At 42.1% G+C, this 13,720-nt stretch overlaps 2 annotated features.

Annotated features, from left to right (window-relative positions):
• Positions 7,659-8,234: a transcriptional cis regulatory region, noted in NCBI's record as "candidate enhancer chr1.7484 targeted for multiplex CRISPR interference". NCBI's record gives its function as "positively regulates FAM102B gene expression with high confidence in K562 cells {active_cell/tissue: K562}" and the evidence as "EXISTENCE:mutant phenotype evidence [ECO:0000015][PMID:30612741]".
• Positions 10,901-11,195: an enhancer, noted in NCBI's record as "tiled region #3357; HepG2 Activating DNase matched - State 9:DNaseU". NCBI's record gives its function as "activates a minimal TATA promoter and a strong SV40 promoter by Sharpr-MPRA in HepG2 cells {active_cell/tissue: HepG2}" and the evidence as "EXISTENCE:reporter gene assay evidence [ECO:0000049][PMID:27701403]".

Below are 13,720 nucleotides of genomic sequence, written 5' to 3' on the forward strand. Positions count from 1 at the left end.
AACAATGGAAGACAGAAAGAGACTGGAAGCCTAAGGCTAGATAAGAGAGAATCAGCAGCCCAGAATGTGCAGGAAGGGATTTTAATGCCAGAGTGAGTCTGTCTCTACGGCAGAAACCCACAGAAGCCCAGGGCTGAGCTGGCAGGTGCCTCAGAGGGCAGGGGCAGAGGAGAGGTAAAATAGAAGGGTTAACTGAAAGCCTGCCTAGTGCACAGTCTACACCAGACATGTACCTACACTCCCAACCCTCGTCTCCCACTCCTAAATACACAGAATACCAACTAGTATGAAATCCTGGCCGTAAAAAAAAAAAAAAAAAAAAAAAAAAAAAAAAAAAAAAGTTTCTTTTCTTGAAAAATTGAGTAAACTGGCTGAGAAGAATCAGAAATGGTGAAAATGGATGCCAGTGCCCCAAGTAAAGCTCTCTCTATTCTTGCATTTTGTAACCCCATTCCTCCCCGCAAAAACTAAAAGTCTCCAGCATTCTAACCCTAAAATGAACATGACTAGTGGATAAGTCTATTTTCAAAAGGAATGACTAGAAATGAGTGACAAAAATTTGTGTTCCTCATTCCTTACTGTGATGCCTCTTCTGGTAGGTGACTTCCAGGCCAGGGACTATATTTTCCAGCCTCGCTTGCATTCCAATGTAGTCATTTAACTACATGGGATATAAGTAGAAGTGATGTGTATCACTTCCAGGCCAGGGCTTTTAAGAAAGTAGGTGTGCCTTTGCACTTTCTTATTTACTCTTCTGCCAGCCAGAGGCAGAAGGCACCAAGGCCTGCGGAGATGCTAGTGGTGCCAGGGGAAAGAGTCTGGGTCTCTGAATCACCACATGCAAGAAGCCACCTGCCAATCAGGCATTGGACCACAATACAGATGACAAACAAACATCTATTATGTAAAGCCATTGAAATTTATATAACCAGCATTACCACAATCAATTATCTGCACCCCCCCGCCCCCGCCCCAGCCCACCGCCCAGGTACACAGAGCTCCCAACTACTGGCAGATATTCCATGGGAAAACAGACTTATATACATCAGAGTAAGAAACTCCTAAAAGCTACTTAGAAGTCTCATTCTAAAATATGATGGACAACTAAAGATCACAAGAAAGAAAACAAGCAACATAAAAAAGAAAGACCAAGATAAACAGTATTCATCCTAAGAAAAGAGCAGAGATTATCTATGGAATAGAAAAAATTACATTTTTAATTACTGTTCTCAGAGACATTTGAAAAGACACTGCTTCCATGAAACTACGACTGGATACTCCTACACCCTGCCCTGACTTCACACACACAAACCAAAATAAAAATCCAAAAGAAGAAAGAGTTCTGGGAAATTAAGCATATAATTGCTGACATTTTAAAAATCGAAGGGTTGAAAGACAGCCTAGACCCTCTCCTGGAACATAAAGCAAAAGATGAAAAGAGAGGAAATGTCAGAAGAAAGACGAAACAGAATAAATCCAGAAGATCCTATATCCAGCAAATAGAAGTTCCAAAAAGAAAAAAAACAAGGAATGAAATATCTTTTAAAGCTTTAGTATGTATGTGAGTACACACACACACACACACACTCTCTCTCTCTATATATATATATATGTATATATGTCTCATCGAGAGTTAAAGAAAGATGTAACTATTCCTAGTGAAGGGTGTAAATGAGTACTAGGCAAAATGAATGAAAAAAGATCAACTAGACATCACATTATGAAATTCTGGAAGATTAAATATTAAGAGATTTTTAAGTTAATTAATTTCTTTACTGTGGTAAGAACACATAAGACCTACCTTCTGAAAAAAATTTAAGTTTACAGTACTATTAACTGTAAACACAATGCTATACAGCAGATCTCTAGAACTTAATCATCTTGCATAACTGAAGCTTTATATCCACTGGGCAGCCCTCTCTATTTCCCCTCCCTCAGCCCCTGGCAGCCACCATTCTACTCTCTGCCATAGAAATGAACAACTAGCTTATTTCACTTAGCGTAATGTCCTCCAGATTCATCCATGTTGTCACAAATGACTGGATTTCCTTTTTTATGACTGAATAATATTCCATTTTATGTATATAGCAAAGTTTCTTGATCCATTTATCTATCAATGGACATGTAGATTGTTTCCACATCTAGGCTATTGGGAATAGTGTTGCAATGAACATGGGAAGACTCTAGAGAGGAAGAGAAAAAAGATCACCTACCAAGGAACAATAATACACCAGCATCAAGCTGCTGCTTCTTTTCGTTTTTTCCTCCAAGACACAGTCTTGCTCACCTTAGCCTCCTGCGTAGCTGGGACTACAAGCATGAGCCACAACACCCAGCTAAGTTTTGGCATTTTTTGTAAAGACAGGATTTTGCCATGTTGCCCAGGCTGGTCATGAACTCCTGGGCTCAAGCGATCCTTTCACCTCAGTCTTCCAAAGTGCTGGGATTACAGGCTTGAGCCACCGTGCCCGGCCCAAGCTTATTAGTAATACTCCATGCTAAAGACAGCAGAACAATTCCTTCACAGTTCTGAAGGGAAAAAATGTTTGAATATAGAATGTTGTACTCCACCTAACTATAAATCAATGTGAAGGCATACTAAAGACATTTTCAGATTTTCAATTACTCAGAAATTTCATCTCCCGTCTGTTTTTTCTGACGAAGATACTTTTGGAGATATTCCAGAGAAGTGAAGTGCAAACCAACAGAGGAAGATATGGAATACAAGAAAGAGTAGAACTCACTCAGGAGTATAATGAAAAATCATTTCAGAGTGACAGCTGTGCATAGGGTTTACAAAACAATCTAAATCAGGAGAGGGAGTCAGTGGGTCCCAAGTATAACATTAATACTATCTTCAGGAAGAAAAATGAAATGTAGTTTACACAAAACATAGAATGACCATGAAAATAGATGATATCAGTGACATGGTGAAGAAAACATATGTTTCTTCTCTCAGCAAGATAAAAGAAAGATAATTGGAAATTCCAGGAAAAAAAAAAACGACAAGAATTATATAGAAAAGTCAAGATACAAATATGAAGCCAGCTAAAATGTAGCACAATTTTCAGCAATTTCTGTAACTATGAAAGAGAATTTATTTAATTTAGACTCTAAAATATCCTTCTTCAAAGAGCCCAGAGGTCATGGTCTTGGACCTATAGAAAAGGAAATGTAATTTTTGCATATTATTTGCCTATGCAATGAATATTAATTAAATAGTCATAATAACATAAATTGGGGGGTTATGTTGATATTTAACTCCCAGAATCAAACTGTAAGCAACAGTTTATAAAAGATGGGTTACAATAAAGAAAGAATTTGGCATTAACTCTGAAAACATAAAAACAAAAGTCTAGGCCAGACCCGATGGCTCACGCCTGGAATGCCAACACTTTGGGAGGCCAGGGTGGGTGGATCATTTGAACTCAGGAGTTCAAGACCAGCCTGGGAAACATGGTGAAATCTCATCTCTACAAAAAATACAAAAATTAGCCTGGCATGATGGAACTTGCCTATAGTCCCAGCTATTTGGGAAGCTGAGGCAGGAGGATTGCTTGAGCCCAGAAGGTGGAGGTTGCAGTAAGCCAAGATCACGCCACTGCACTCCAGCCTGGGTAACAGAGCAAGACCCTGTTTCAGGAGAAAAAAATAATAATAATATTCTTGACAGAATATTATGGTAGGTGGAAGGGTAGAAGGTGGAAGAAAGGAGAAAAGGGCCAATAGTCTCATCAGCATATCTCCAGAATGTGACCTCTTCTCACCAACTCCACGAGTATCTCCTGGTCAGCACTACCAGCATCTCTGTCTTGACGACTGTAAAAGCCTCCCGACTACTCCCCTGCCTCCCCCTATGCCTTCCTACAGTTCTCAACATGGAAGCTATACATATCCACAAGTCAGACCGTGTCACTCTGCTCAAAACCTTGCAATGGCTTCTCATTGTACCCAACGTAAAAGCAAAAATTCTTTATATTGATCCACATAGCCCTATATCATCTCACCCTGTTATCTCTCTGACCTCATCCTCCACCACGCTGCCCTTTGCTCACTCCATTCTAGCCCTACTAGCCACCTGTAATCCTTGAATGTGCCAGGCACACTCCTTCCTTGCAGCCTTTGCTGTTGCCTCTGCCTGGAACTCTCTTCCCTAAAATGCTTACATGAATAACATCCTCCCTGCCTTTATGTCTGCTCAAACATCATCTCTCAATGAAGTTAAATCTGACCATCCGATTTAAAATCATTATTCCCACTTTCCAGATTCCTGAACTATCTTTTCCTGTCTTACTTTTTTTAATTTTGAATGTATCAATGTCTACTATATAATTTCTGTATCTGAACACCCCATCAATGTCTACTATATAATTTCTGTATCTGAACACCCCTACCCCCAACTACCATGTAAGTGCCAATGAGCCTGAGAGCTCTGTTTTGTTCACTGAGCACTTAGAACAGTGCCTGTCGCCATACTAAGTATCCAATAAATAATCATGATTATATAAATATAGCCTGGGAGTCAAGAGGTATTATATATGGCTGATGGGACAAAAACTAGAGGTTTAAGTGTTTTATTTAAAGGTATAAAAGCAACCAAGAATAAAACTATAATAATAGCTATCAAAAACTGGGAGAGGGTAGCTAAATCCTTGTTTTTATTATAGAGAATAAGTACAATACATAGAAATAAAGTCTTGAAAGATACACACCAAATTACTTTCAGTTGTAACTTTGCAGGAGGCAGTTTAAAGGAATAAAGGGATAAAAATCAGTGATTAAAAATTTTAATCTTGGTCAGGCACGGTGGCTCATACCTATAATCCCAGCACTTTGGGAGGCAGAAGTGGGAGGATCGCTTGAGCCCAGGAGTTCGAGACCAGCCTGGGCAACATAGTGAGACCCTGTCTCTACAAAAAATGAAAAAATTAGCCAGGCACGGGGGCACATGCCTGTAGTCCCAGCTACCCAAGGGGCCGAGGTGGAAGGATCCACTGAGCTTGGAAGGTCAAGGCTATAGTGAGCCATGGTCACACTACTGCACTCCAGCCTAGGCAACAGAGTAAAACCCGTCTCAAAAATATGTAATTTTTTTTATCAAAAAAGGGAGGCGGTTTTCCTCTGGAAAGTGGGACTGGGAAGTGTGGCAGACAGCTGTTGTTTTTCAGTATAAACTCCTCAGCACTACCTTATTTTTACTATGTATACAATTACTTTGATGAAAATTAAAAGACAATAAATTTTATTTCTTTTTTTTGCTAATCAGCTGACTTTAGAAAATACATTTTTAAGGAAGCAAAGGAATAAGCAGTTCCAGGTTCACTCTAGTACATAAACAAATATCCAATAGATTCCCCAAAGTACCATACTTCATGACTGAGATGATGTTGGCCTTGGAAATTTTCAAAGTGGATGTTACAAGCTGATCACTATGGCTGTAAAAATAAAAGGAGATATAACAACATTAAACATTTGGTTTTAGGTACTTTAACTTCCTGATATGTACCTGTATGGATTTCAAATTTTTCCTCTATTATCTAAGATAGTCACTGTTTGAAAGCCAAGGCCTCCTCTCCCATCCGTTATCTGCTAGGGGATTAGTATAGCATTTTAACATTTGATCTTATTTTCTCCCTTCTGGATCATGTGGATTGGCTTCGCCACCGTATGAGTTTGCCAAAAGCGAGAGTAACATGCCAAACCAAACATCTGTCACTAAACTGCAGGAGATTTATTATTTTTACCTAAAAGAATACTTGCTACATCAAGAATACTGTAGTCATTAAGCCAGATGAGGCCCTAGGCCAGGTGGATGGTGTGACCATGGACACCAAGGTCTCAGAGAACACCCTGCTCTTCCCACTCACAGAGCCCTGAAGGACCCAGCCTCTCCTAGTGGAGTGCTGTCAAGAAAGACAACTAAAAGGAAAGTTCTGATGAGGGGATATGCAAGTCTACAAAGAGTTACTCGAGTCACTTTTATAGTTTCTACAAAATTTAAAGACTGAGAATAAAAAAGGCCCTCAGCCACTTGTTCATTGGTCAGCCCTAGCATCTAACATAAATGCTCTTCCACAACCCCTAGCAAGGCAGGAGGGGGTAATAAAGACAGCTTTTGGCAAGACCTCAGGAGAAAGAGAAATTTTGATTCTCAACACTGTATCCCAGGAGGGTAGGGAAGAAAATAGAAAATTAATACCAAAGGACAGTGTTTCTATATCTCCACAGCATATCTTTAGGATGGGAATCAGGCTGTTACCTTAGTTTCAAAGATCAACTTCCAATAGCAAAGGTAAGGTGACAAGCCATTCAAGGTATTTAAAACATAAGCACTAAAATTTTATCCATGCATTTATGTGTGTGCTTTTGAAAAAAAAGGCCTGTCACTATATTGCAGTCCCCACTGGATAAATATATTTTTTACTAAGTTTATTAGACATATAACAATTTTAGAAGACATCTGTCAAAGACAGTAACTTTAGTTTTAGAACTGTTAATATTATGCCATTTATTTTCTAACAGTGTTTATTATGCAAGGACTGATTGCCTGTTGAGGTCATTCTTGGTTCTCAAAACGAAAACCATATTATTATATAATTACCCAGACTCCCCCTGCACCATTATCTAAAAGAGTGGGACAAAGGATCGGAAGGTGACCTAGCAAAACAAGTACTTTGTTTTAGAGCCTTTACACTTCAGAAAAATCACTCCCGTGATGCTCAGAGCTTTCAATGCTATTAAATCACAGTTTTCTGGCCAGGCACAGTGGCTCATGCCCGTAATTCCAACACTTTGGGAGGCCAAGGCAGGAGGATGGCTTGAGGCCAGAAGTTCAAGACCAGCCTGGGCAACATAGTGAGAACCCATCTCTACAATTAAAAAAATGCAAAAATTAGCCGGACATGTGCACACACCGGTAGTCGCAGCTACTCTAGAGGCTGAAGTGGCAGGATCACTTGAGCCAAAGAGCTCAAGGCTGCAGTGAACTATGATTGCATCACTGCACTCCAGCCCAGACAACAGTGAGACCCTGTCTCTAAAAAATAAAATAAAATGCATACTTTTTGAAGCATCAGTAACCAGGAATCTCTATTAAGCTTGTATACCATTCTTGTCCTGCTCAAACTCAGTCATCTCAATTCCAACCAGATGTCCAAACCAGAACCCTGGGAGCGATTCTTGTCCTCTCCCTCTGCCTCAGTCTCCATATCCAATCATCCCCCACAAAGCCCTGTTGAATATCATTCTAAAATACATCATGAGCTTTTTCACGCTCTCTGGTTAAAGGTAGTCCAAGTCAACACTGTCTTACATTGGGGCTGCTACAATCAGAATTTTTTAAATAAAAATAGTAGCAAACACCTTATAATCCTTACTATGGGTCAGGTACCCCTCTAAGTGCTTTAAATGCATTAGCTGATTTATTCTTCTCAATAACCCTATAAAGCATTCTAGCACCACTTGAAGATGAAGAAACTGATGCACAGAGAAGTTAACTGACTTTCCCAATATCACACAGCTAGGAAGTGGAGGAGCCAGCTGTCCCCTCCTCACTGACCCTTTGCACTCACACCTGCCATCCTCCGGTCTGATTTCCACACAGCAACCAGTGTGATTGTTTAAACAAGTAACTTTTATACAGAACCAGAAACCTTGAAGTGAGAACAGAAAACAACTTTATTCTTTTCTTCCCAACAGCCTGATCAAACCGGCTCTGCAGGACAGGTTCTTTCCTGGCGCCTGGGGCAAGTCCCTTGACTTTTTTTTGGTGCTGTCAGTTAATACGAATTCTCTCTTTCAGTCGCAAAATGGTCTCATTTCAATAATAAAAATGCCCAGTTCAGCGTGTTGGTTGAAACACTGAATTTCATTACAGTTAATGCTTCCTCCCCACCACCCACCCAAACCCCAAACCTGCTAGGGCTGGCGGCCTTTGTGGTGGGGCTGGCTCCTCTCTCCTGGCCTCCTCCTCTTCATTGTCTCAGCCGCTTCAGCCAGCCAAGGTTGGAGGGGCCAGGAAAGAGAGATAAGAAACAGAAAAGATCTTGTGTGACAGACACAGGCGTAATCTACCATTGACAGACTCTGGCCGTGGCAGGTGTTTAAAGCTGACTCTTACTCTCAGGACTTTTTTTTTTTTTTTTTTTTTTTTTGAAACGGAGTCTCGCTTTGTCGCCCAGGCTGGAGTGCGGTGGCGCATCAGCTCACCGCAAGCTCCGCCTCCTGGGTTCACGCCATTCTCCTGCCTCAGCCTCCCGAGTAGCTGGGACTACAGGCGCCCGTCACCACGCCCGGCTAATTTTTTTGTATTTTTTAGTAGAGACGGGGTTTCACCGTGTTAGCCAGGATGGTCTCGATCTCCTCACCCTAGATAGTCCTCTGTAAGTTCCGCTGATTGGAGCTCATTGAAATAGGCAAAGCCTCGACCTTAGCTGGATGCTTACATACCCACTCCAGCCCCACGTTCAGCTTCTGAATCTGAAGACACGTCTCCAGCCTCTGTCTGCTAAGGTTGTCTGGTGTGGACAGAAGTTCTCTTAAGCATGATCCCCTTTTAAATGACCGCACGTATATATTCCTCCCAAGGATTTCATACCTTGGAGCTGCCAATGCAAACTGTCAATACTAGTTAACTTTCCAAATGCAGTTCCTTACTTTGATGACAGTAAGCTATTTACCAGGTATTTCTGTGACCCATGGACTCCAGAGGCTACAGGTCAAACCTTCCATGTGGTCTCCTTGGAGCACCCCTCACTAGCACACCTGAGGCAAGGTAAAAATACCTGTCCTACCAATCTCTCATGGGGTTGTAGGGAAGACATGATGCATTGGAGATTCTTTCAATGGGAATTTCCAAAACTCAACTATCTCCTTGGCCTTTTCAATTTTAGTTCCTATATAGCCTTAAGATAGGCAGAGGGGTGAAGATCCACAGAAGTGGTTTCAGCACCTCTTTCATAATTCTGCCATAGATGATCTCACTCACTGCACTTTGAAATGTGGGGGTAATTAGGCCCTCAGCTGCAGTGAATCAGGAAGAGTCCCATTTTAACACTCTGTTAGAAATACCACATCATGCCTTTCCATCGCTATTAGCATTAAATACTAAAAAACACTAATCATACTATGTCCTTCCACTGCTATTGCGATTAAACGCTAACTCTTTACCACATTCTATGGAGCACTGCATGATATGGGCCTTGCCTACCTGTCTAGCCTTGTTTCATAACTCTCTTTTCAGGTTCAGCTGCATTGGTCTTCTTGCAGGTCCTTGGATTCTCTAAGCTCTTTCCTACCTCAGGACCTTCATACATGCCTAGGAGATTCTTCCTCCTACCACTCTTGTCCTCATTTGTTAGGTCTCAGCTTAAATATTATCTCATAGCAAAGGATTTTCCTGAAGTATTATAGCTCTCTGCCCCCAGCCAACTATTCTCATTCATATATATTATTTAACTTTACAGCATTTACCACAAATTGTAAATGTGTGATTGTGTATTTTCTTTTTTTTTTTCTTTTTTTTTTTTTAATTGATCATTCTTGGGTGTTTCTCGCAGAGGGGGATTTGGCAGGGTCACAGGACAATAGTGGAGGGAAGGTCAGCAGATAAACATGTGAACAGAGGTCTCTGGTTTTCCTAGGCAGAGGACCCTGCGGCCTTCCGCAGTGTTTGTGTCCCTGGGTACTTGAGATTAGGGAGTGGTGATGACTTTTAACGAGCATGCTGCCTTCAAGCATCTGTTTAACAAAGCACATCTTGCACCGCCCTTAATCCATTTAACCCTGAGTGGACACAGCACATGTTTCAGAGAGCACAGGGTTGGGGGCAAGGTCACAGATCAACAGGATCCCAAGGAAGAAGAATTTTTCTTAGTACAGCACAAAAGGAAAAGTCTCCCATGTCTACCTCTTTCTACACAGACACGACAACCATCCAATTTCTCAATCTTTTCCCCACTTTTCCCCCCTTTCTATTCTACAAAACCGCCATTGTCATCCTGGCCCGTTCTCAATGAGCTGTTGGGTACACCTCCCAGCCGGGGTGGCAGCCGGGCAGAGGGGCTCCTCACTTCCCAGTAGGGGCGGCCGGGCAGAAGCACCCCTCACCTCCCGGACGGGGCGGCTGGCCGGGCGGGTGGCTGACCCCCCCACCTCTCTCCCTGACGGGGCGGCTGGCCGGGCGGGGGCTGACCCCCACCTCCCTCCCGGACAGGGTGGCTGCCAGGCGGAGACGCTCCTCACTTCCCAGACGGGGTGGCTGCCGGGCGGAGGGGCTCCTCACTTCTCAGACGGGGCGGCCTGGCAGAGACGCTCCTCACATCCCAGACGGGGCAGCAGGGCAGAGGCGCTCCCCACATCTCAGACGATGGGCGGCCAGGCAGAGACGCTCCTCACTTCCTAGATGGGATGGTGGCCAGGCAGAGACGCTCCTCACTTCCCAGATAGGGTGGCGGCCGGGCAGAGGCTGCAATCTCGGCACTTTGGGAGGCCAAGGCAGGCGGCTGGGAGGTGGAGGTTGTAGTGAGCCAAGATCACGCCACTGCACTCCAGCCTGGGCACCATTGAGCACTGAGTGAACGACACTCTGTCTGCAATCCTGGCACCTCGGGAAGCCGAGGCTGGCGGATCACTTGTGGTTAGGAGCTGGAGACCAGCCCGGCCAACACAGCGAAACCCCGTCTCCACCAAAAAAATACGAAAACCAGTCAGGCGTGGTGGCGCGCGCCTGCAGTCGCAGGCACTCGGCAGGCTGAGGCAGGAGAACCAGGCAGGGGGGTTGCAGTGAGCGGAGATGGCAGCAGTACAGTCCAGCTTCAGCTCTGCATCAGAGGGAGACCGTGGAAAGAGAGGGAGAGGAGGGAGAGGAGGGAGAGGAGGGAGAGGAGGGAGAGGAGGGAGACGGGAGAGGGAGAGGGAGAGGGAGAGGGAGAGGGAGAGGAGGGAGAGGAGGGAGAGGAGGGAGAGAGCGTGATTGTGTATTTTCAAGTTTATGGCCATATGGCCAGAAACTGGTTAATGATTTACTAAATTATTTCTGTTTTCCTACTGGACATACAGTTGAACTACATATCCCAGCCTCCCTTGCAGTTAGGTACAGCCATATGACTGTTGTAGTCAATGGAATGTAGGTAGAAAAAGAACACACTTCCAGGCCTGGCCTGTAAAATCTTGCCACATCTGATCCCCTATTCTTTTTTTCCATTCACCGCCTTAATAGAGAAGATTTCAAAGACCCAGAAAAGCATACAATCACAAGAGGAAAGTGATCTGAGTTAGTGCTTAGAGGAGAGAGTCCAGTATAGTCAAGATATCAGCAGCAGCCTCACTGGACTATTGCTTGAGCAAAAAACAAATTTTTATTAGGTTAAGTCATTGAATTTTCTCTTATAGAAGTATTCCAGCAAGTAAATTGAAGAAAGAATGACAGAATTAGATTACCACTATATTAAACCCTAATGAATTCATGAATCTAGACAATGATCATCAATGGCTATTATTTGTGATGGGAAGAAGAAGAAGAAGAATATTCACAGAATATTAAATATATTTCATTGCATCCTGGGCTCTCTTTTCTTTCTTTTGTTTTTCAATTTTTATTTTAGATTCCAGGGTACACATGCAGGTTTGTTAGAAAGGCATATTGCATGATGCTGGGGTTTGGAGTATGATTAAACCCACCACCCAGGAAGTGAGCATAGAACCCAATAGGTATTTTTTCAACCTTTGCCCCCCTTCCTTCCCACTCTTGTATTTCCAAGTGTCTATTGTTCTCCTCCTTATGTCCATGTGTACCCCATGTTTAGCTCCCACTTATAAGTGAGAACATGTGTTATTTGATTTTCTGTTTCTTCATTACTTCAGCTGCATCCATGTTGCTGCAAAGAACATGGTTTCATTCTTTTTTATGGCTGTACAGTAATCCATGGTATATAAGCATTAATACCACATTTTCTTTATCCAATCCACTGTTGATGGGCACCTGGGCGGGGTCCATGTCTTTGCTATTGTGAATAGTGCTGCAATGAACATACAGGTGCATGTGTCTTTTTAGTAGAATGATTTATTTTCCTTTGGGTATAAACTCAGTAATGTCATTGCTTGGTTGAATAGTAGTTCAATTCTTATTTCTTTGAGAAATCTCCAAACTGCTCTCCCCAGAGGCTGAACAAATTTGCATTCCCAGCAACAATGTGTAAGCATTTCCTTTTCTCCACAGCCCCACCAACATCTGTTATTTTTTGGCATTTTAACAAAACCCATTCTGACAAGTGTGAGATGGTATCTCATTGTGGATTTGATTTGCATTTCTCTGATGATTAGTGATGAGCATTTTTTCATGTTCGTTGGCTGCTTGTATATCTTTTTTTAAGAAGTGTCTTTTCATGTCCTTTGCCCATTTTTAATAGGGTTATTTGTTTTTTGCTTGTTGATTTAAGTTCCTTATAGATTCTGCATATTAGACTTTTGTCAGATACATAGCTTGCAAATATTTCCTGCCATTCTCTAGGTCATCTATTTACTCCATTGATAGTTTCTCTTGCTATTCAGAAGCTCCTCAGTTTAATTAGGTCCCACTTGTCAATTTTAGCTTTTATTGCAATTGCTTTTGAGGACTTAGTCATAAATTCTTTGCCAAGGCTGATGTTGAGAAGGATATTTCCTAGGCTTTCTTCTGTTATAGTTTCAGGTCTTACATTTAAGTCTTTAATCCATCTTGAGTTAATCTTTGTATATGGTAAGAGATAGGGGTCCAGATTCACTCTTCTGCATATGGACAGCCAGTTATCCAGACACCATTTATTGAATAGAGTCCTTTTCCCACTGCTTACTAGCGGTAGATGTGTGGCTTTATTTTTGGGTTCTCTATTCTGTTCCTTCCATTGGTGATTTTCTATTTTTGTACCAGCATCATGCTTTTTTTGGTTACCATAGCCTTGCAGTACAGTTTGAAGTCAGGTAATGTGATGTCTCTGACTTTGTTCTTTTTGCTTAGGATGCTTTGGCTATGTGAGCTTTTTTGGTTCCATACAAATTTTAGAATAGTCTTTTCTATTTCTGTGAAAAATGAAGTTAGTAGTTTGATAGGAATAGTGGGCTCTTTTTTCTATTTATATTCACCTCCAGATGATCACATTTGGTCCCAGCCTTTTCATACATCTAGCCATTGACAACTTCCACATTTTTATCTCCAGAGCTATTAATTCCAGTGAAGTTCTGGATTTCTATATTCAACTGCCTCCTCAAAGTCTCTACTTGGCTGTCTAAAAATTTCTCAAGTTTAACATGTACACAACAGAACTCTTTACTTCTCTCCAAAAACCTCCTCCCACAGTCTTCCACATGTGAGCAGATGAATCTAAGCCACCATCATATCTCATCCAGTGATAGCTGATGTCCATATAATGAGTTCTTCACACAACATCTAGGGTGCATGAACTTTTCAAAATTCAAATCAGATAATGCCACTTCCCTGTTTGAAACCTTTGTACAGCTTTCTGATACACTCAAAAAAATTCAAACATTTTTTCATGGCCTCCTCCTTCTTGGCTGCTCTGACTTCATTTTCTACCACACTTTCCAATGCACACGCTTCTCAAATCTTCTTATTGTTCCTTGAAAGAAGCAAGCTCATTCCTGCCTCAGGGCCTTTGTATTTGCTATTCCCCTGCTTGGAACTCGGTTCTACCATCTACTTATGGCTTTGTCCTGCACTTCATTC

This window comes from Homo sapiens, chromosome 1, assembly GCF_000001405.40.
Source record: "Homo sapiens chromosome 1, GRCh38.p14 Primary Assembly".
Taxonomy (NCBI): Eukaryota; Metazoa; Chordata; class Mammalia; order Primates; family Hominidae; genus Homo; species Homo sapiens.